Genomic DNA, 21,294 nt, shown 5'->3' with positions numbered 1-21,294 from the left:
CCTCCGGGATTAAGCAATTATCTTGATAAGGGTGGTAAGAAAAGGAAACCGAATCTCCTAGTGCCAACTTCAGTTGCCTCAGCCTTCATTTACGCTCAGCTTCAGGGGCCTGAAAGACTAATAATTACATTACCCAAGAAGTTGGTTTATTTTTCCCTCAAGTCTCAACTATCCTACATGGGGTCTCTTTTATTTCTACCCTACATCCGTCTACTCCTCACATGTCATCCTACCTGGCCGTCTCTCAGTTTATTTTTTTATTTTTATTTATTTTTTCGAGACAGAGTGACTCTGTTGTCCAGGCTGGAGGGCTATGGCCAGATCAAGGCTCACTACTACAGGCATGACCTCCCAGTTTTAAGTGATCCTCCCACCTCAGTCTTTCAAGTAGCTGGGACCACAGGTGTACGCCACCAAGCAGGCTATGTTGCCCAGGCTGGTCTTGAACTCCTGACCTCAAGAGTTTCTCCTGCCTCAGCCTCCCAAAGGGCTGGGATTATAGGCATAAGCCAAAGCACCTGTCCCCCTTCACTCAGTTATTTTATTTTTTATTTTTTTTGAGATGGAGTCTCGCTCTTTCTCCCAGGCCGGATTGCAGTGCCGCTATCTCGGCTCACTGCAAGCTCCGCCTCCCAGGTTCATGCCAGTCTCCTGCCTCAGCCTCCCGAGTAGCTGGGACTACAGGTGCCCGCCACCGCGCCCGGCTAATTTTTTGTATTTTTAGTAGAGACGGGGTTTCACCGTGTTAGCCAGGATGGTCTCGATCTCCTGACCTCATGATCCGCCCTCCTCGGCCTCCCAAAGTGCTGGGATTACAGGCGTGAGCCACGGCACCTGGCCTTTCACTCGATTAATCTTTATGAATATTTTAAGTTTCCCTTTCTTTTTTTTGAGACGGAGTCTCGCTCTGTCGCCCAGGCTGGAGTGCAGTGGCGCGATCTCAGCTCACTGCAAGCTCCGCCTCCCAGGTTCACGCCATTCTGCTTCAGCCTCCCGAGTAGCTGGGACTACAGGCATCAGCCACCTCGCTCAGCTAATTTTTTGTATTTTTTTTTTAGTAGAGACGGGGTTTCACCATGTTGGCCAGGATGGTTTCGATCTCCTGACCTCCTGATCTGCCCTCCTTGGCCTCCCAAAGTGCTGGGATTACAGGCATGAGCCACCCCCCAGCCTCTTTTTTTTTTTTTTTTTTTTTTTTTTTTTTTTGAGACAGAGTTTCGCTCTTGTTACCCAGGCTGGAGTGCAATGGTGTGATCTTGGCTCACTGCAACCTCTGCCTCCCCGGTTCAAGCAATTCTCCTGCCTCAGCCTCCCGAGTAGCTGGGATTACAGGCATGCACCACCACGCCTGGCTAATTTTGTATTTTTAGTAGTGACGGGGTTTCTCCATGTTGGTCAGGTTGGTCTCGAACTTCTGACCTCAGGTGATCTGCCCACCTCGGCCTCCCAAAGTGCTGGGATTACAGGCGTGAACCACCGTGCCTGGCCCTTAAGTTTCCTTTTTTTTTTTTTTTTTTTTTTTTGAGACGGAGTCTCGCTCTGTCGCCCAGGCTGGAGTGCAGTGGCGCGATCTCGGCTCACTGCAAGCTCCGCCTCCCGGGTTCACGCCATTCTCCTGCCTCAGCCTCCCAAGTAGCTGGGACTACAGGCGCCCGCCACTACGCCCGGCTAATTTTTTGTATTTTTAGTAGAGACGGGGTTTCACCATTTTAGCCGGGATGGTCTCGATCTCCTGACCTCGTGATCCGCCCGCCTCAGCCTCCCAAAGTGCTGGGATTACAGGTGTGAGTGAGCCACCGCACCTGACATTTTTTTTAAAATGTAAATCTGTGTGGAAGTGTCTCAAAAATTAATATTGCCTCAGTGAATGAAATAATCAGAGACTTGTTTTGTCTGCCTTAACTGAGTATATATAAAAGTTGTTTTAAAATTTTGTATTTGACCGGGCGCGGTGGCTCACACCTGTAATCCCAGCACTTTGGTAGGCCGAGGTGGGCGGATCACGAGGTCAGGAGATCGAGACCATCCTGGCTAACACGGTGAAACCCCGTCTCTACTAAAAATACAAAAAATTAGCCGGGCGTGGTGGCAGGCACCCATAGTCCCAGCTACTCGGGAGGCTGAGGCAGGAGAATGGCGTGAACCCGGGAGGCAAGAAAAAAAAATTGTTGTTGACTGGCAAATTCTTTTTATTTATTTATTCTTTTTGAGATGGAGTCTCACTCTGTTGCCCAGGCTGGAATGCAGTGGTGTGATCTCGGCTCACTGCAACCTCCACCTGCTGGGTTCAAGCGATTCTCCTACCTCAGCCTCCTGAGTATCTGGGATTACAGGCCCATACCGCCACTCCCGGCTAATTTTTGTATTTTTTAGTAGAGGCGGGTTTTCACCATGTTGGCCAGGCTGGTCTCGAACTCCTGATCTTATATGATAACCTCGGCCTCCCAAAGTTCTGGGATTATGGGCGTGAGCCACTGCGCCCGGCCCTAAATGATTTCTCATGTGGCATAGTGAGTTCCTTCATCAGCTAGTTTCGGTTTCTTCCCATCTTCATGGGGTGAGCTGAGTCTTTTGCCTTCCCGTCTGCTCAATTGGGGGCAAGGGAGCACAGGGGGGTCTTTGGGCCTTCTATCTATGGGTGCCACAGAAGCGTTTGCAGGGGTCGGCCTTAAACTGGAAAGGAGGAAGGGACTGATCTCAGAAAAAGGGGGGATGACAGATGCCTTCTGAGTGTGGGGAGGACAACGATAGGAAACACTCTGGAAACGGGGAACAGCACCAGGCCCCTTCTCGGGAAGAAGAAACAACGCTGGGGAGCCTTGAGGAAGGGGGGACGGCTCTGGCTCTGGGGTCTCCTCAGGAGGGGATAATGGCATGGGGGTCCCCGCCAGAAAGAGGGGATGATGTCCGGGTTTCCCGCGGGAAGAAAGGACAATGCGGTGCTGGCCATCAGGACAGGGTAGTGACAGCAGGGTCCCCTCAAGAAGGGCGGATGACGCCAGGATCCCCCTCAGGAAGTGAGGACGACTCTGGGGTCACTCAGAAAAAAAGGGATGACGCCAAGTGTCCCCTTCTGGAACGGGCGACTGGTGTCAGGATATTCTCAGGAAAAGAAGGACGACGCTGGGGTCTGCCGAAGAGACTAGGAACGACGCTGGGGCCACTCTCAAGACGTTGTGAGGCCTGGATCCCCTCAACCGCTTCGGGGTCCGGGGCTCCCGCTATCGCTCTAGCGCCTTTGGCTCCGCACGCCTCACTTCGCTCAGCTCTCGGCTTCCACCAGCGAGGCGACCGCGCCTCTCATTGGCTGCCTTTTCAAGTGATGACAATTACACCAGCCAATCGTAGTCGGGAAAAAAACTCCCGCTCGTTCTCGCCTCGCCTCCCCCCTCGTTCTGCGAGTGCGCTGGGTCCCTATTCTGCTGTAGCCCGCCCCCCCGCCCCTTAGCCCTACTCTAGGGGGCGCTCACGGGCTCCGACTCCCAGCCCTACCTCCTTCCCTGCCTATGCCTGTGACCCTTTTTATAATAATAGTACTTACTTAATAGGGCTGTTGTGAGCATTTACCTCGATGATTTACGTAAAACAAACAGTGCTTGTCACATAACAACCTCTCGGTAAACCTAAGCTATTGTTATTTGGATTTTACAATGGGGGAAACTGAGGCATGGTTTCCCCCCTTGGCCAGTAACCTGCCCAGACTAACCCAGCCATTAACTTGGCTGAGTTGGAGCCAAAATCCAGGAAAGCTGAATCTAGAATCTGTGTGCTTATCCACCACGTTTTTGTGCCTCCCAGATAATAAATACCAGATGTTTTTCATTTCCCCTGATTATAAAATAACTTTCTGATTATAAAAGTAATATAGACTGGGTGCAGTGACTCACGCCTGTAATCCCAACACTGAGGCAGGAGGATCGCTTGAGCCCAGGAGTTTGAGACCAGCTTGGGCGACATAGTGAGAACCCATCTTTACAAAAAGTTTTTTTAAGTAGCTGGGGGCAGGGGCAGGTGCCTGTCAGCTATTTGGGAGGCTGAGGCAGGAGGATTGCTTGAGCCTGAGAGGTCGAGACTGCAGTCAGCTGTGATTGCACCACTACACTCCAGTCTGGGTGACAAATGAGACCCTGTCCCAATCAATCGATCATCAATGAATGTAATATATGCTCATTGCAAAATGTTCAGAAAATGTCAAAGACTACACAAGACACAGATCTTTCTTTTTTAAAAAATTATTTTAGTATTTATTGATCATTCTTGGGTGTTTCTCGGAGAGGGGGATTTGGCAGGGTCATAGGACAATAGTGGAGAGAAGGTTAGCAGATAAACATATGAACAAAGGTCTCTGGTTTTCCTAGGCAGAGGACCCTGCGGCCTTCCGCAGTGTTTGAAGACACAGATCTTTCTTAATCCCACCACTGGAGACACTGTGAATATCTGGATGGGTAACTGCCTTTTCTCTGCATGTTACTTTTCAGTAGGATCATATAATACAGAATATTTTGAAACCTGCTGTTCTGACTGTGAATATCTCTGGCCATTTCAATAAACATAGATCCACCTGATTTTTTTTTTTTTTTTTTTTTTTTGGAGACGGAGTCTTGCTCTGTTGCCCAGGCTGGAGTGCAGTGGCACAATCTCGGCTCACTGCAACCTCGGCCTCCTGGGTTCAAGCAGTTCTCCTGCTTCAGCCTCCCGGGTAGCTGGGACTATAGGCGCATACTGCCACGCCCGTCTAATTTTTTGTATTTTAGTAGAGACAGGGTTTCACTGTGTTGCCCAGGCTGGTCTCGAACTCCTGAGCTCAGGCAATCCACGAGCCTCGGTCTCCAAAAGTGCTAGGATTACAGGCGTAAGTCACTGCGCCCAGCCCACTTGATCATTTTTAATGGTTGCATATTATTCCATCATATAGGTGAAAAGTAATTTAATAACTCCTTAATAGTGGTCACCTGGATTATTAATAATTCTTCACTATTCTGACCAAGGAGAATAGAGACATTTTTTACTTTAGATATTTGAGCATTTGCATCTTTGCATCTTTTTTTTTTTTTTTTTTTTAGACAGTCTCACTCTGTCACCCAGGCTGGAGGGCAACGGCACGATCTCGGCTCACTGCACCCTCCACCTCATGGGTTCAAGCGATTCTCCCACCTCAGCCTCTGGAGTAGCTGGGATTACAGGCACCCACCATCATGCCTGGCTAATTTTGTTATTTTTGTGGAGATGAGGTTGGTTTCACCATGTTGGCCAGGCTGGTCTTGAACTCCTGACCTCAGGTGATCCTCCCACCTTGGCCTCCCAAAGTACTGGGATTACACGCATGAGCCACCGTGCCTGGCCAAGCAGTTGCATCTTTAAAAAAATATTTTTTGGCCAGGCACGGTGGCTCATGCCTGTAATTCCAGCACTTTGGGAGGTCGAGGCGGGTGGATCATGAGGTCAGCAGCTCGAGACCAGCCTGGCCAAGATGGTGAAACCCTGTTTCTACTAAAAATACAAAAATTAGTCGGGCGTCATGGCGCATCCCTGTAGTCCCAGCTACCTGGGAGGCTGAGGCAGGGGAATTGCTTGAACCCGGAAGGCAGAGGTTGCGGTGAGCTGAGATCGTGCCATTGCACTCCAGCCTGGGCGACAAGAGCGAAACTCCGTCTAAAAAAAAAAAAAAATTTTTGGCCGGGCACTGTGGCTAACGCCTGTAATCCCAGCACTTTAGGAGGCCAAGGCGGGCGGATCACCTGGGGTCAGGAGTTCAAGACCAGCCAGGACAACATGGTGAAACCCCATCTCTACTAAAAATAAAAAAATTAGCCGGGCGTGGTGGTGGGTGCCTGCAGTCCCAGCTACTTGGGAGGCTGAGGCAGGAGAATCGCTTGAACCCGGGAGGCCGAGGTTGCAGTGAGCCAAGATCACACCATTGCACTCCAGCCTGGGCAACAAGAGTGAAACATTGTCTCAAAAAAAAAATTTTTTTTAGAAACATGTCTCAGGTCTAGGTGCGATGGTTGACACCTGTAATCCCAGCACTTTGGGGGGGCGAGGCAGGAGGATCGCTTGAGTCCAGGAGTTTGAGAACAGCCTGGGCAACATGGCGAGACTCCATCTCTACAAAAGAGCAAAAAAAAAAAAAAAAAAAAATTTAGCCTGGCATGGTGGCAGATGCTTCTAATACCAGCTACTTGGGAGGCTGAGTTGGGAGGATCACCTGAGCCTAAGGAGGTTGAGTCTGCAATTAGCCACTGCAGCCTGGAGCCTGGATAACAGAGTGAGATCTTGTCTCGAAAGAAAGAAAAGAAAGAAGGAAGGAAGGAAGGAAGGAAAGAAGGAAGGAAGGAAGGAGAGAAAGAAAGAAAGAAAGAAAAAGAAAGAAAGAAAGAAAGAAAGAAAGAAAGAAAGAAAGAAAGAAAGAAAGAAAGACAGACAGACATGTCTCACTATGTCACCCAGGCTGGTTTTGAATTCCTAGGCTTAAATGATCCTCCCACCTCAGCCTCCAAAAGTGCTGAGATTCCAGGCAAGAGCCACTGCGCCCAGCTGGTTATGTTTTTGATAAATATTGTCAGACCATTCCTGGAAAGCTGTATGTTCTAGCTTGCACGAACAGAAATGAGCTGTGAAAATGCTTTGCAAAAGAAAATAAAAAATAAATGTCTTATTTTGATTTGCATTGACTTTTTTTTGTTGTTGTTTGAGATGGAATTTCACTCTTGTTGCCCAGGCTGGAGTGCAGTGGCATGATCTCAGCTCACTGCAACCTCCACCTTCCAGGTTCAAGGGACTATCCTGCCTCAGCCTCCCGAGTAGCTGGGATTACAGGTGCCCGCCACCACGTCCAAAGTGCTGGGATTACAGGCGTGAGCCACCACACCTGGCCGGCACTGACACGTTTTTATGCTGTTAGAGAGGGAGAAATACTACCTACATCTCAAGATTTCGTGCACCTGAAATAACATAAAAGTATGGGGACAGCTATCACTGTTGAACAGGCACTGGGTGAAGCGAGGTCCTCGTCTTATTTCCTCGAATTTTCTCCATATTGTGCGATCTCATCCCAGCCCTCAGTTTCTTCAATTGCAAAATGGAACCAATGCTAGTCCATATCTCAAGAACAGCTGGAGAGTCAATGAGATAATCTTAAAAAGTTTAGCACAGGATAGAGCCCTCTAAAGTCTGGGAGAGGCGGAGCCATTTGCTCAAGACCAGTACCAGGAAGCCTGCAAGCCTTGATGTCAATTTCAGATAATGAACCGACTCCACTCCTTCCCCAGGTTCCCCTGGCCTCCTTCAGATTACGTGGCCTCCCTGCTGTGCCCCACTGCCCTTGTTCACCTTTGCTGGAAAAAAGGTGAATTCCCCACCCTGGAGAGCCAGCTGATGGTCATGTGTCATTGCCATTTTTTTTTTTTTTTTTTTTTTTGAGACAGAGTTTCACTCTTGTTGCCCAGGCTTGAGTGCAATGGCACAATCTCCACTCACTGCAACCTCTGCCTCCCGGGTTCAAGCGATTCTCCTGCCTCAGCTTCCTGAGTAGCTGGGACTACAGGTGTGTGCCACCATGCCTGGATAAGTTTTGGGGTTTTAGAGAGACGGGGTTTCTCCATGTTGGCCAGGTTGGTCTCGAACTCCTGACCTCAGGTGATCCACCGGCCTCGGCCTTCCAAAGTGCTGGGATTACAGGCGTGGGCCACCGCACCCGGCCATCACTGCCATTTTTGACCCATATTTTCAGTCTGTCCCAATACAGGAGGTGTTCCGAACATCACATCTGCCCTTTTTTTAAAAAAATTTTTTTTTTTTGAGACGGAGTCTTGCTGTCGCCCAGGCTGGAGTGCAGTGGCATGATCTCGGCTCACTGCAGGCTCCACCCCCCGGGGTTCACGCCACTCTCCTGCCTCAGCCTCCCGCGTAGCTGGGACTACAGGCGCCTGCCACCTTGCCTGGCTAATTTTTTGTATTTTTAGTAGAGATGGGGTTTCACCGTGTTAGCCAGGATGGTCTCGATCTCCTGACCTTGTGATCCGCCCGCCTCGGCCTCCCAAAGTGCTGGGATTACAGGTGTGAGCCACCGCGCCCGGCCTAAAAAAATTTTTTTATTTTCTTGAGACAAAGTCTCACTCTGTCACCCAGGCTGAAGTACAGGGGCATGATATCAGCTCATTGCAACCTCCACCTCCCGGGTTCAAGCGATTCTCCTGCCTCAGCCTCCCGAGTAGCTGGGATTACAGGTGCCCTCCGCCACGTCCAGCTAATTTTTGTATTTTCAGTAGAGACGGGGTTTCACCATATTGGTCAGGCTGGTCTTGATCTCCTGACCTCAGGTGATCCACCCGCCTCGGCCTCCCACAGTGCTGGGATTACAGGTGTGAGCCACCACACCTGGTCTTTTTTTTTTTTTTTTTTAGACGGAGTCTCGCTCTTTCGCCCAGGCTGGAGTGCAGTGGCTTGACCTCAGCTCACTGCAAGCTCCACCTCCCAGGTTCAAGCAATTCTCCTGCCTCAGCCTTCTGAGTAGCTGGTACAGGCATGTGCCACCACATTTGGCTAATCTTTTTGTATTTTTAGTTGAGACGCGGGTTTCACCATGTTGGTTGGGCTGGTCTCCAACTCCTGACCTCAAGTGATCTGCCTGCCTCGGCCTCCCAAAGTGTTGGGATTACAGGTGTGAGCCACCGCACCCAGCCCACCCTTTTACACTTGGGGAAACTGAGGCCTGGAAGGAGAAATCTCGTCTAAGGTCACCCACAGTCCACTGCAGGCTAGAATTAGTGCTGTCACCTCCTGACCCCCAGCCCAAAGCCCTTTTCCCGACTCTGCCTCCATTTGAAAGTCCCTGGGGAAAATGTCTGTGTCTCCTTTTCACTTCTTGCAAAGTTCAGATTCCCTGAAAACTTCTACCTATTTTTCGAGCTCTGCTTCTCTCCTCCCACTTTTCTAGGTTCTATCTTCTGTGAATCTTTACAGCTGTTGTCAAACAACTCTTTGTATAGCCTAAATATTTTCCATTAACTCTGGCTGAATTTTTAGAATTTAAGTCCAATACAGTAGCTTCTGGCCACCACTGTGGCCGGAAATTAAAACTGGCCACATTTCAAGGGCGCAATAGCCACATGTGACTAGTTGCTGACTTGTTGGATAGCACAGATAAAGAATATTCCTATTACCACAGAAAGTTTTACTGAGGCCGGGAACAGTGGCTCACACCTGATTTTAGGGTCAAAGTGCTAGTAATCCTAGCACTTTGGGAGGCTGGGGCAGGAGGATTGCTTGAGCCCAGGACTTCGAGGAGATCAGCTTGGGCATGTAACATGGTGAGACCCCATCTCTACACCTTTTTTTTTTTAAAGAAAGTTTTACTAGCCAAACCGTACTATAGAGCAACTGTTTAACTCTGTAACTGTCATTATCCCATTTTATTTAAATAATTAATTCTTTTTTTTTGAGATGGAGTTTCACTCTTGTTGCCCAGGCTGGAGTGCAATGTTGCGATCTTGGCTCACTGCAACCTCTGCCTCCCAGGTTCAAGTGATTCTCCTGCCTCAGACTCCCCAGTAGCTGGGATTATAGATCCCCGCCAGCACGCCTGGCTAATTTTTGTATTTTTAGTACAGACAAGGTTTCACCAAGTTGGCCAGGCTGGTCTCTAACTCCTGACCTCAGGTGATCCGCCTGCCTCAGCCTCCCAAAGTGCTGGGATTACAGGTGTGAGCCACCACACCTGGCCCCATTTTATTTATTTACTTTTTTTTTTTTTTTTTGAGGCAGTGTCTCACTCTGTCACCCAGACTAGAGTGCACTGGCACAATCACAGTTCACTGTAGCCTCGACCTCCTGGGCTCAAGTGATCCTCTTGCCTCAGCCTCCGGAGTAGCTGGGACTACAGGTGCGCACAACTACACTCAGCTAATATATCCCCATTTAGTAGAAGAAACAAGTGAAGCTCAGAGAGATCGCCCCCAAGATCACCAATCAGATTCCCTCTCGAGCCCAGGAGTTCAAGACCAGCCTGATCAGCATAAGGAGATCCCCATCTCTACCAAAAAAAAAAAAAAAAAAAAAAAGCTGGGCTTGGTGGTGCACACCTATCATTCCAGCTACTCAGGAGGCTAAGGTGGGAGTATCACTTGGGCCCAGAGGGTCTAGGCTACAGTGAGCCCTGATCATGCCACTGCACTCCAGCCTGGGTGACAGAACCAATCCGCGTCTAAAAAAAAAAGAAAAGAAAAGAAAAATAGAAAAAAATCTCAGAGTCCCTGGACTAGAAACAAATGGCAGAGTAGGCAGGTGGACTTTTCCTTGGACCCACGCAAGATGCTCTCATGTTTCAGAACATGCATTGTATAAAAATATATGTCTAGTGCCCCCTTGTGTCTACCTACTCAAGCACTGTATGTATTCATGTGCATCCTGGTTTATTAAGCCCCAGAGGCAGCCAGTATTCTTTTTTTTTTTTCCTTCTTTTTTTGAGACGGAGTCTCGATCTGTCGCCCAGGCTGAAGTGCAGTGGTATAATCTGGGCTCACTGCAACCTGCAGCTCCCAGGTTCAAGCAATTCTCCTGTCTCAGCTTCCCAGGTAGCTGGGACTACAGGCACGTGCCACCACGCTCAGGTAATTTTTGTATTTTTAGTAGAGACAGGGTTTCACCATGTTGGTCAGGCTGGTCTCAAACTCCTGACCTCAGGTGATCCACCTGCCTCGGCCTCCCAAAGTGCTGGGATTACAGGAGTGAGCCACCACGCCCAGCCGAGGCAGCCAGTATTCTAATCAAGGTCCAAATCACAAACATTTCCACTATCCATATCTTTATCTATATTCAGAAGTTTTGCTCATTAGTATAATGAATGTCAGAAACCTATTGGTAAAACCAGGGGCTTGTTAATCAGCCTAACAGGGCTGGGTGTGGTGGCTCACGCCTGTAATCCCAGCACTTTGGGAGGCCAAGGTGGGAAGATTGCTTGAGCCCAGGAGTTTGAGACCAGCCTGGGCAACAAACCGAGACCCTGTCTCTACAAAATAAAAAATAAATTAGCCGGGCGTGGTGGCACCCGCCTATGGTCCTGCCTACATGGGAGGCTGAGGCAGGAAGATCACTGAAGTCCAGGAGGTTGAGGCTGCAGTGAACTATGATCATGTCATACCACTGCACTATAGACTGGGTGATAGAGTCTCACTCTGCCACCAAAAAAAAAAAAAAAAAAAAAAAGCCTAATAAATGTGGGAAAATTAGGCTCTGTGAGTGGAATTAACAGCATTCAAGTATGTGGGTTAGGCCAGGTGTGGTGGCATCCACCTGTAATCCCAGCTACTAGGTAGGGTGAGGCAGGAGGATCTCTAGAACCCAGAAGTTCAAGGCTGTAGGGAGCTGATTGTGCCACAGCACTTCAGCCTGGAAAACAGAGAGAGACCATGCCATTAATTTTTTTTTTTTTTTTTTGGTAGAGAGTTTTTGCTCTTGTTGTCCAGGCTGGAGTGCAGTGGCATGGGCACGTCTCACTGCAACCTCTACTTCCCAGGCTCAAGCAATCCTCCTGCCTCAGCCTTCCAAGTACCTGGGACCACAGGGATGGTCCACCACCACTGGCTAACTTTTTAAAATTTTTTTTTTATTTTTTGAGACAGAGTCTCACTCTGTCACCCAGGCTGGAGTACAAGTGGCACAATCTCGGCTCACTGCAACCTCTGCCTCCCGGGTTCAAGCAATTCTCCTGTATCAGCCTCCTGAGTAGCTGGGATTACAGGAATGCGCCACCATGCCCAGCTAATTTTTGTATTTTTAGTAGAGACAGGGTTTCACCATGTTGGTCAGGCTGGTCTCGAACCCCTGACCTCAGGTGATCCAGCCGCCTCAGCCTCCCAAAGTGCCGGGATTACAGGCATGAGCCACCGTGCCTGACCAATTTTTAAAATTTTTAATAGAGACAGGGTCTCACTATGTTGCCCAGGCTTGTCCTGAACTCCTGCGCTGATCTCGGCCTCCCAAAACACTGGGATTACAGGCATGAGCCTTTGCACTGGGTAGTCTTTTGCCTTTTTTTTTTTCTTTTCGAGACAAAGTCTCGTTCTGTCACCCAGGCTGGAGTGCAGTGGCATGATCTCAGCTCACTGAAACCTCCGCCTCCTGGGTTCAAGCTATTCTGCCTCAGCCTCCCAAGTAGCTGGGACTACAGGCACACACCACCACGCCCGGCTAATTTTTCTATTTTTCAGTAGAGACGGGGTTTCACTATATTGGCCAGGTTGGTCTCAAACTCCTGACCTCATGATCCGCCCGCCTCGGCCTCCCAAGGTGCTGGGATTACAGGCGTGAGCCACCGCGCCCAGCCACATCTTTTCCCTTTTAAATACTGCATGGGGCTGGGTGCAATGGCTCATGCCTGTAATCCCAGCACTTTGGGAGGTTGAGGCGGGTGGATCTCCCAAAGTCAGGAGTTTGAGACCAGCCTGACCAACATGGTGAAACTCCATCTCTACGACAAATACAAAGAATTAGCCAGACATGGTGGCGGGCGCCTGTAATCCCAGCTACGCGGGAGGCTGAGCCAGGAGAATCGCTTGAACCCGGGAGGCGGAGGTTGCAGTGAGCCGAGATGGCGCCATTGCACTCCATCCTGGGCAACAAGAGGGAAGCTCCATCTCAAAAACAAAACAAAACAAAACAAACCCTGCATGGCTTGAATTTCCATTTTATAACCTGACTCAGGCTGGGGAATGTCTCTGTCCAAGCTCTACTTCACAATTCCGTCTGCTGGGGAACAAGTAGGGACAGAAACTCCCTCCCCAACCCAAGCAGACGGTGCAGCGGGGAGACACCTCAACAAACAACATGGGGAATGAAGCCACATCAGCCAGGAAAATCGGTGAAAGCCTCGGTTTAATTGGAGACAAGATCGAAGGATTATTGATCAACGGACCGAATGACTGATCGTCAAAGTGGACAATACACAAGCAGCTTACAGAGGTCCTGTGCTCACCCTGGGGAGAGGAGCCCTGCTTGGGGGTGGGTCTGTCTCTCCAGTCACCCCCTGGCTCCTGGAGAAGGGGGGAGGGGACAGGCTCTGCCCAGCCCCAACCCCTAGGATGACACGACTTCCCATAAAACAACAGCGGTGAGTCCACCCTTTTCCCAGGACTATGGTACAGTTTGTATAATACAGCAGGAACAGAGACTCTCCCAACGGGAGACCTCCTTCCCTACCTTCCCGACTGGGTCAGCCAGGGAAGGGCAAGTTTTTATTTTCCCTTTTTGCCTCCGTAGAATAATTTACAAACCAACCTTACAGTATGTACAAAAAAGAAAGAAAGAAAAGAAAAAAAGGTAAAGAATGAACAAAAAGAAAGAAAAGGCCCACTCCGATCGCCGGCTGGGACAAAAACGACTTTCGCTACAAAATATGAACCCTGTACAGACAGCATCAAGGGAGTGTGAGTGCGGGGTTACCTCCCCCTGGGGTGGACAGAGGGATGGAAGGCTAGGGAGGAACTGGGGGCTACAGTACCGTGTGCTCAGAATTGGGTAGGGGGCAGGCGATGAATGAGGTCGGTCCAGCTGCAGAACCAGGCCGAGGGCGAGGGGAGGAGGGAGAGAGGGGGCTTTCCTTCCAAACAGTCCCCCATGGCTTGGAGAAAAATGGTCTTGCATCTGTCTGCCGTATTGCTCAGGGACTAGCTGGGGGAGAGGGAGAGGCTAGGCAAGGTACGGATGGAGGAGAAATTATTTTGGTGCCAGGGTGGAAGGAAGGGCTGCCCAGGAATGAGAATGAGGGTATACACCATTATTGCTTCCTCCTAGGGCAAAAGGTAGGGGGGCTGTGATCAGAGTGTGGAAGGTGGGGTCCGGAGGACCCTGGAAAGGGGGGTGCGGCCAGGATGGGGGTTCTGGGCGCCTGGCCCTGCCTCATCCAAGGTGCAGGCGGCCACTGCAACCCCCTTGCCTGTGGCCGTGGGAATTATTAAGGCAGAAACAAGAGGAGAAGCAGCTAGAAGTGGGGCGGGGGGCGGGGGGGTGAGTGGATCAGAGCCACTGCCCCAAAAAACGGAGAAAATTCAAAGTGAACCCAAAGTGGAAGGGAAAGGGGATGGAGAGTGGAGGAGGTCTAGGGCCCTCCTCAAATCCCAGGCCCGAGGCTGGCGGTGTGAACGCTCCCTTCCATACCACCCCCGTATCCTAAAGTGAACAGCTCCCCCAGCTCCCTGACTTTCTAGTCAGTATCGCCAGGAGTATCGCCGGGATTGTGCAAAATCAAGCGGAAGACTTTTTTAGAGGGGAGAGGAGGCAGCAAACCAGAGGGGGGCTGGAGCTGGGACCTCCCACAGTGACTGCCCCCCACCCTGGCCCCAGCCCCGCCTAGAATGGCTATTCCTGACCACGTTCTAGAAATCCTCTAAATTCAGAAGAAAAGCCCAGAAGGAGGCCCCACACCTGCTTGGGCCCAGGTAGAGACTCCCCAGGCGGCTGGAAGACTGAGCCTGGAACTTGGGGGGCAGTGGGGGAAGGTGAGGGGAGGGATTTGGAAGTGGAAAGCGGGAACCAGGAACAGGAGCATCTACAGTTGCTGTGTTTCTTTCTTTTTTTTTTCTTTTTTTGTTCTTTTTCTAAAAATGTTACAATTAAAATTCAAAAAAATAAAATCCCTTCCGGGACCTCAGCCCCTCATTCCCCAGCCCCCACCTCCAAAAAAAGGCCCCGTGGGTGGGGGCAGGGGGAAAGGGGAAAAAAAGAAAACAGAAAAAAACCCCACTTTTCGTTTTCTTTTTTCTCAGGAGGGACAAGAGGACAAGAGTCTTTGAGGCAGAGGAGGAGGTGGTCGGGGGAGCAGGGGAGTGAGGGGAGGAGTGGAGGGGAACAGGGACAGAGGTCTGGGGATCAGGTAGGGTCTCCACCTGACCCCCCGCCACCAGGAGCTGGGAGTGCGGATGTGTCCTCCCCAAATGTCCCTGCGCAGGCACTGCAAGCCCTCTTGGCAGCCTGGTGCTCTCGTTGGGCCTCCACCTCGGCCGCCGTGGAGGGGAGGCCCGGGAGGCCCGGGGCATGCTCTGAAACAGACAGGGTCCTCCAAGCAGGGAGAAGGGGGCTTTGAAGAGCCAGGGCAGAGGGGCTGCTGTGGCTTACAGCAACCACGAATTCCTCCCGGGACGAGAACTCATCCGGAGCCACAGGTGCACTGCCTGTGGACTGTGCCTGCTGTGTCAAATACACTGCCTCCAGCTCGGCCTCCAGGGATGCTTCCTGTGCCATAACTTCCAACGACTCCTGGGCCGGGGATGCCTCCCAGGCTATGGTTGCATCCAGAGCTTCCTCGACTCCTGACAATCCCTGCGCAGTCAATGCCTCTTGGGCTGTGCACGGTATCTGGGCCATTGATATTTCTTCCTCCTCTTCCTCCTCCAGCGTCAGCTCAAACTGGAACTTGTCAGGCAGGGGTGGGTGGCCTGGCCCCCTTGACTCCTCCTCGGGTGGCGGAGATGGGCTCTGCCGGATGGCGCTGTAGTACCAGTCCCGGTTGTCCTCCAAAGTGTCCAAGATCTCCTGGGCATCTGGGTGGACAAGGTCCGCCCAGGTCTCCCACAATGGGTGCACAATGTAGTCAATAAAACCCACCTGGTGGAGGGGAAGAAAGTATAAATGGGCGGCCTATGGGGTGGATGATACCACCACATTATGGGAGCTAATGAAATGAAAAACATGCTTATGGGCCGGGCATGGTGGCTCATGTCTATAATCCCAGCACTTTGGGAGGCTGAGGCAGTCGGATCATTTGAGGTCAGGAGTTCGAGACCAGCCTGGCCAGCATGGTGAAACCGCATCTCTACCAAAAATACAAAAATTAGCTGGTTGTGGTGGTGCATGCCTGTAGTTCAGCTACTTGGGAGGCTGAGACAGAATCGCTTGAACCTGGGAGGCGGAGATTGCAATGAGCTGCGATCGCACCACTGCACTCCAGCCTGGGTGACAGAGCAAGACTCCGTCTCAAAAACAAAAACAAAAAAATGTATACATTGATGCAGTTTACACACACACACACTTTTTTTTTTTTTTTTTTGAGACGGAGTCTTGCTCTGTCACCCAGGCTGGAGTGCAGTGGCTCGATCTCGGCTCACTGCAACCTCTGCCTCCCGGGCTCACGCCATTCTCCTGCCTCAGCCTCCCGAGTAGCTGGGACTACAGGCGCCCGCCATCGTGCCTGGCTAATTTTTCTATTTTTAGTAGAGACGGGGTTTCACTGTGTTAGCCAGGATGGTCTAGATCTCCTGATCTTGTGATCAGCCCACCTCGGCCTCCCAAAGTGCTGGGATTACAGGCGTGAGCCACTGCACCTGGCCTATTTTTTAAAAAGCTAAATGCAATTCCAGCTACTCGGGAGGCTGAGGCAGGGAGAATTGCTTGAACCTGGGAGGTGGAAGTTGCAGTGAGCCGAGATTGTGCCATTGCACTCCAGCCTAGGCATCAGAGCGAGACTCCGTCTCAGGAAAAAAAAAAAAAAGTAGGCCGGATGCAGTGGCTCACGCCTGTAATCCCAGCACTTTGGGAGGCTGAGGTGGGTGGATCACCTGATGTCTGGAGTTCAAGACCAGCCTGGCCAACATGGTGAAACCCTGTCTCTACTAAAAATACAAAAATTAGCAGGGCATGGTGGTGGGCACATGTAATCCCACCTACTCAGGAGGCTGAGGCAGGACAATGGCTCGAACCCGGGAGGCAGAGGTTGCAGTGAGCCAAGATCGCGCCATTGCACTCCAGCCTGGGGAACGAGAGTGAGACTTCATCTCAAAAAAAAAAAAAAAAAAAAAAAAAAAAAAAAAAGCTAAAGCCACAAACTATTGCTATGAAGTTGCCTATGAACATAACTACGTTATAAAGTGTATAAAATTAGTTTTCCATGGGGTGTGTGTGAGTGATTTTGCACACCTAGGGGACATTTGGCAATGTCTGGAGGCATTTTTGGTCTTTACAAATGAGCAGGGGGAGGCTGGGCGCGGTGGCTTATGCCTGTAATCCCAGCACTTTGGGAGGCCGAGGTGGGCGGATCACCTGAGGTCGGGAGTTCGAGACCAGCCTGACCAACATGGAGAAACACCATCTTTACTAAAAATACAAAATTAGCTGGGCGTGGTGGCGCATGCCTGTAATTCCAGCTTCTCGGGAGGCTGAGGCAGGAGAATCGCTTGAACCCGAGAGGCGGAGGTTGCAGTGAGCTGAGACTGCACCACTGTACTCCAGCCTGGGTGACAAGAAGGAAACTCTGTCTCAAAAAAAAAAAAAATGAGGAGGGGGATACTTCTGGCATCTAGTGGGTAGAGAGAGACCAGGGATTCTGCTAAGAATCCTGTAATACCCACGGCAGCTCCTAGCACAAAAAATGATCACCCAAATGTCAACAGTGCTGAGGCCTAGAAACTCAGGTCTGGACGGGTAGAGACATCAAACTCAGATGGTTGGGTTTCACCAGGGAGGATATAAAGTGGGGAGGGGCCAGGCAGGGTGGCTCACCCCTGTAATCCCAGCACTTTGGGAGGCTGAGGGAGGCAGACTGAGTGAGCCCAGGAGTTCGAGACCAGCCTGGGCAACATGACAGAACCCCATCTCCATGAAAAATACAAAAATTAGCCGAGTGTGGTGGTGCACGCCTATAGTCCCAGCCACTCTGGAGGCGGGGGTGGAGGATCATTTTAGCCCAGGAGGTGGAGGTTGCAGTGAGCCAAGATCACGCCCCTGCACTCCAGCCTGGGTGGCACAATGAGACCCTGTCTCAGAAAAAAAAGAAAAAGAAAAATGAAAACAAGGCCGGGTATGGTGACTCACCCCATATCCCAGCACTTTGGGAGGCCAAGGTTTGAGCCCAGGAGTTCAAGACAAGTCTGGCAACATAGCAAATCCCTGTCTCGACAAAAAATTTTAAAAAATTAGCTAGGTGTGGTGGTGTGCACCTGTATTCTCAGCTACTCTGGAGGCTGAGGCAGGAAGATCGCTTGAGCCCAGGAATTCAAGGCTGCAGTGAGCTATGATCACACCACTGCATGCTACCCTGGGCAACAGTGCAAGACCCGGTCTCAAAATAAATAAATAAAACCTAAATAAAAGAAAAACAGGAGGCTGGGCGCAGTGGCTCACACTTGTAATCCTGGCATTTTGGGAGGCCAAGGCGGGTAGATCACAAGGTCAGGAGTTCAAGACCAGCCTGGCCAACACGGTGAAACCCCATCTCTACTAAAAATACAAAAATTAGCCAGGCATGGTGGTGCACGCCTGTAATCCCAGATACTTGGGAGGCTGAGGCAGGAGAATCACTTGAACCTGGGAGGCGGAGGTTGCAGTGAGCCAAGATCGTGCCATTGTACTCCAGCCTGGGCAATAGAATGAGACTCCGTCTCAAAAACAAAACAAAACCAAAAACAGGACAACTTGGCATTGTGGAAAGGCAGGGGAGGAGCTCCTGGGCCTCAGAACTTCAGGCCAAGATGGGCTGGGGAGACTCACCCTGTGCCCGTCCATCAATGCCCCGAGCCTGTACCTGAGACTTCTCCACGGAGGCAGTGTGCTTGTCACACATGGGGCTGATTTCCATGCCACGCTCGCGCTCTCGGTCACCCTGCTGGAAGAACTCGGCCATGATGCGGTCTGTCCACTGGCGGTACAGCTCCAGCGGCTTGGTGGGGTTGCTGAGGTCGGCACAGTGCACCATGTTCCGGAGGACCTGCATGGGGTTGGGGCACAGGGGAAACTTCAGAGGCTATGCCTGTGTCCCAGTCTGAGACCTCAGGCATTCCTTCTTTTTTAAGAAATGGGGGCCAGGCACTGTGGCTCACGCCTGTAATTCCAGTACTTTGGGATGCTGAGGCGGGTGGATCATGAGGTCAGGAGTTCAAGACCAGCCTGGCCAACATGGTGAAACCCTGTCTCTACTAAAAATACAAAAAAATTAGCCAGGCACGGTGGCACATGCCTGTAATCCCAGCTATAGTGGGGCTGAGGCAGGAGAATTGCTTGAACCCAGGAGGCGGAGGTTGCCGTGAGCCGAGATCAAGCCACTGCCCTCCAGCCTGGGCGACAGAGTGAGACTCCATCTCAGAAAAAAAAAAAAAAAAAAAAAAGAATGGGGCTGGGCGCGGTGGCTCACATCTGTAATCACAGCACTTTGGGAGGCCAAGGTGGGCAGATCACTTGAGGTCATGAATTTGAGATCGGCCTGGCCAAGATGGCGAAACCCCATCTCTACTAAAAATACAAAAATTAGCCAGGTCTGGTGGTAGGCACCTGTAATCCCAGCTACGCTAGAGGCTGAGGCAGGAGAATTGCTGCAGCCCAGGAGGCGGAGTTTGCAGGGAACCAAGATCCGTGCCCTCTAGCCTGGGTGACAGAGAGACCCGATCTCAAAAAAAAAAAACCAAAAACAGAAAAGAAGAAAGAGAAAGAAGAAGGAAAGGAAAGGACAGGACAGGACAGGACAGGAAAGGAAAGGAAAAGAGGATCTTGCAATGTTGCTCTGGCTGGTCTCAAACTCCTGGCCTCAAACAGTCCTCCTGCCTCAGCCTCTGGAGTAGTTGAGATTATAGGCGTGAGCCACCACACCCAGCTTTCAGGCTTTCTTATCTCCCACCTGGGGAGGGAGGGAGTAGGGAGAGAAGGTGGGGAGAACAGAGAACAGAGGAGGTAACGGGGAGAGGTGTGTGGGAGATGGAGAAAATATGGGAGGAGTCGGAAGGGGGGTGAGGGAAGAGAAGATGGTTAGGGAGAGGGACAGGGGACCTGGAAGGAGTTGATGAGAAGAAAGGAGGAATTGGGGGAAATGGGAGGAAATGGTGGGAGAGATGGGAAGGAGAGATGGGATTGGAAAGTGAAGATGGAGAAGGGGACAGACAGAAAGAGGTCAGGTGTGGTGGCTCACGCCAGCTATCCCAGCACTTTGGCAGGCCAAGACAGGAGGATAACTTCAGCTCAGGAGTTTGAGACCAGACTGGGTGACATAGTGAGACCCCAACTCTCCTTTAAACATACAAAGTAAATAAAAATAAATTTAAAAAAAGAGGGCTGAGCGCGGTGGCTCACGCCTGTAATCCCAGCACTTTGGGAGGCCAAGGCGGGGGGCGGGGGGGGATCACCTGAGGTCGGGAGTTCGAGACCAGCCTGACAGACATGGAGAAACCCTCTCTACTAAAAGTACAAAATTAGCTGGGCATGGTGGCGCATGCCTGTGATCCCAGCTACTCGGCAGGCTGAGACAGGAGAATCGCTTGAACCCGGGAGGCGGGAGGCGGGAGGCGGGAGGCGGAGGTTGTGGTGAGCCAAGATGGCGCCATTGCATTCCAGCCTGGGCAACAAGAGCAAGACTCCGTCTCAAAAACAAACAAACAAAAAAAAAGAAAGAAGGACACAGGAAGATGGGCCACTTGGGAGAAAGAGGCTGAGGAAGGGGCAGTTAGCTACCCAGACCTAAAGGTGTGGCTGGGGGAGTGTCCTCCCTCCTTAGATGATGGGGCGTGGGGGCACCTGGATGCGGTCGGAGTAGTTATCTAGCAGGAGGACCCCTGAGCTGGTCACTTTCTTGGTCTCCACCATGGTCTTCAGGTCAGCCAGGAGGGTCATGTGCTTGGACATGTCCGTGGCCAGCACCTGCGGGCAAGGGGGCGTCACTGGGGCCGCTGACACCCGCCCCCCAGACTGACCCGGGCCTCTGAAGTTTTCACCAGGTAGAAGCCGCCCGCTCTGTCCAGGTTGAGGGTTCCTCTGGGACTCAGACCCACTCCTCCCCAAAGCCCTCGACTCCTAGGCTTCCTTTCCCGCTCCGTCCCGCCCCAGCCCCGCCCACCATGTCGATGACCATCTTGCGTAGGCTCTGCCGCTGGCGCTTGCTGAGGTTCTGGAAGATGTCGCAGTTGTCCTCCTGCAGCAGCTTGAAGCCCACGGCCAGGTGGTGATTCTCGAGCACCGACTCATCGTTGTACATGAGCGCCAGCTCCGAATCTGCAGCCCAGCCCGGAGGTCAGGGGAGGGCCCACGTGTGCAGCTCCAACCGCAGGAGGGCCAGCTCCGCCCCCAACTAGCTAACCCCTCCCCAGCCCGGCCAGCCTCGCCTCCAGCCCAGTCAGCTCTACCCCAGCCCGGCCATCCCCTTTCCAGCCCAGCCAGCCCCGCCCCCAGCCCCGCCTCCTGCCCGTTCATCCCCTTTCCAGCCCAGCCAGCCCCGCCTCCTGCCCGGCCATCCCCTTTCCAGCCCAGCCAGCCCCGCCCCCAGCCCCGCCTCCTGCCCGGCCATCCCCTTTCCAGGCCAGCCAGCCCCGCCCCCAGGCCAGCCAGCCC

The 21,294-nt window shown here is 51.6% G+C and overlaps 1 protein-coding gene across 13 annotated transcripts in view, besides 4 other annotated features; it reads right to left on the bottom strand.

Annotated features, from left to right (window-relative positions):
* Positions 3,172-3,241: an enhancer, noted in NCBI's record as "active region_13973". NCBI's record gives its function as "activates an Ori minimal core promoter by ATAC-STARR-seq in GM12878 lymphoblastoid cells {active_cell/tissue: GM12878}" and the evidence as "EXISTENCE:reporter gene assay evidence [ECO:0000049][PMID:35858748]".
* Positions 12,853-21,294, bottom strand: part of PDE4A (phosphodiesterase 4A) — a 52,859-nt gene continuing 44,417 nt past the window's right edge. For 7 of the 13 annotated variants that reach the window (XM_047438910.1, XM_017026865.3, NM_001111308.1 and 4 more), the window contains 4 exons: positions 20,804-20,958; positions 20,485-20,607; positions 18,509-18,691; positions 12,853-15,597 (listed from right to left, as the gene is read on the bottom strand). In XM_047438910.1, coding sequence (XP_047294866.1) covers positions 14,863-15,597; positions 18,509-18,691; positions 20,485-20,607; positions 20,804-20,958 — 1,196 coding nt within the window. In that variant the 3' untranslated portion in view covers positions 12,853-14,862. Of the gene's footprint in view, positions 15,598-18,474; positions 18,692-20,484; positions 20,608-20,803; positions 20,959-21,294 lie in introns of all 13 variants that reach the window. The other 6 variants (XM_011528055.4, XM_047438913.1, XM_047438914.1 and 3 more) reach the window with 2 other exon arrangements.
* Positions 20,428-21,152: an enhancer, noted in NCBI's record as "H3K4me1 hESC enhancer chr19:10572008-10572732 (GRCh37/hg19 assembly coordinates)". NCBI's record gives its function as "activates a minimal SCP1, AML or CMV promoter by ChIP-STARR-seq in naive H9 embryonic stem cells {active_cell/tissue: H9 hESC(naive)}" and the evidence as "EXISTENCE:reporter gene assay evidence [ECO:0000049][PMID:30033119]".
* Positions 20,784-20,923: an enhancer, noted in NCBI's record as "active region_13972". NCBI's record gives its function as "activates an Ori minimal core promoter by ATAC-STARR-seq in GM12878 lymphoblastoid cells {active_cell/tissue: GM12878}" and the evidence as "EXISTENCE:reporter gene assay evidence [ECO:0000049][PMID:35858748]".
* Positions 21,114-21,293: a silencer, noted in NCBI's record as "silent region_10076". NCBI's record gives its function as "represses an Ori minimal core promoter by ATAC-STARR-seq in GM12878 lymphoblastoid cells {active_cell/tissue: GM12878}" and the evidence as "EXISTENCE:reporter gene assay evidence [ECO:0000049][PMID:35858748]".

This window comes from Homo sapiens, chromosome 19 (genome assembly GCF_000001405.40).
Source record: "Homo sapiens chromosome 19, GRCh38.p14 Primary Assembly".
Taxonomy (NCBI): domain Eukaryota; kingdom Metazoa; phylum Chordata; class Mammalia; order Primates; family Hominidae; genus Homo; species Homo sapiens.
The sequence above is the reverse complement of the archived record's forward strand: the minus strand, read 5'-3'. Positions and strand labels throughout refer to the sequence as shown.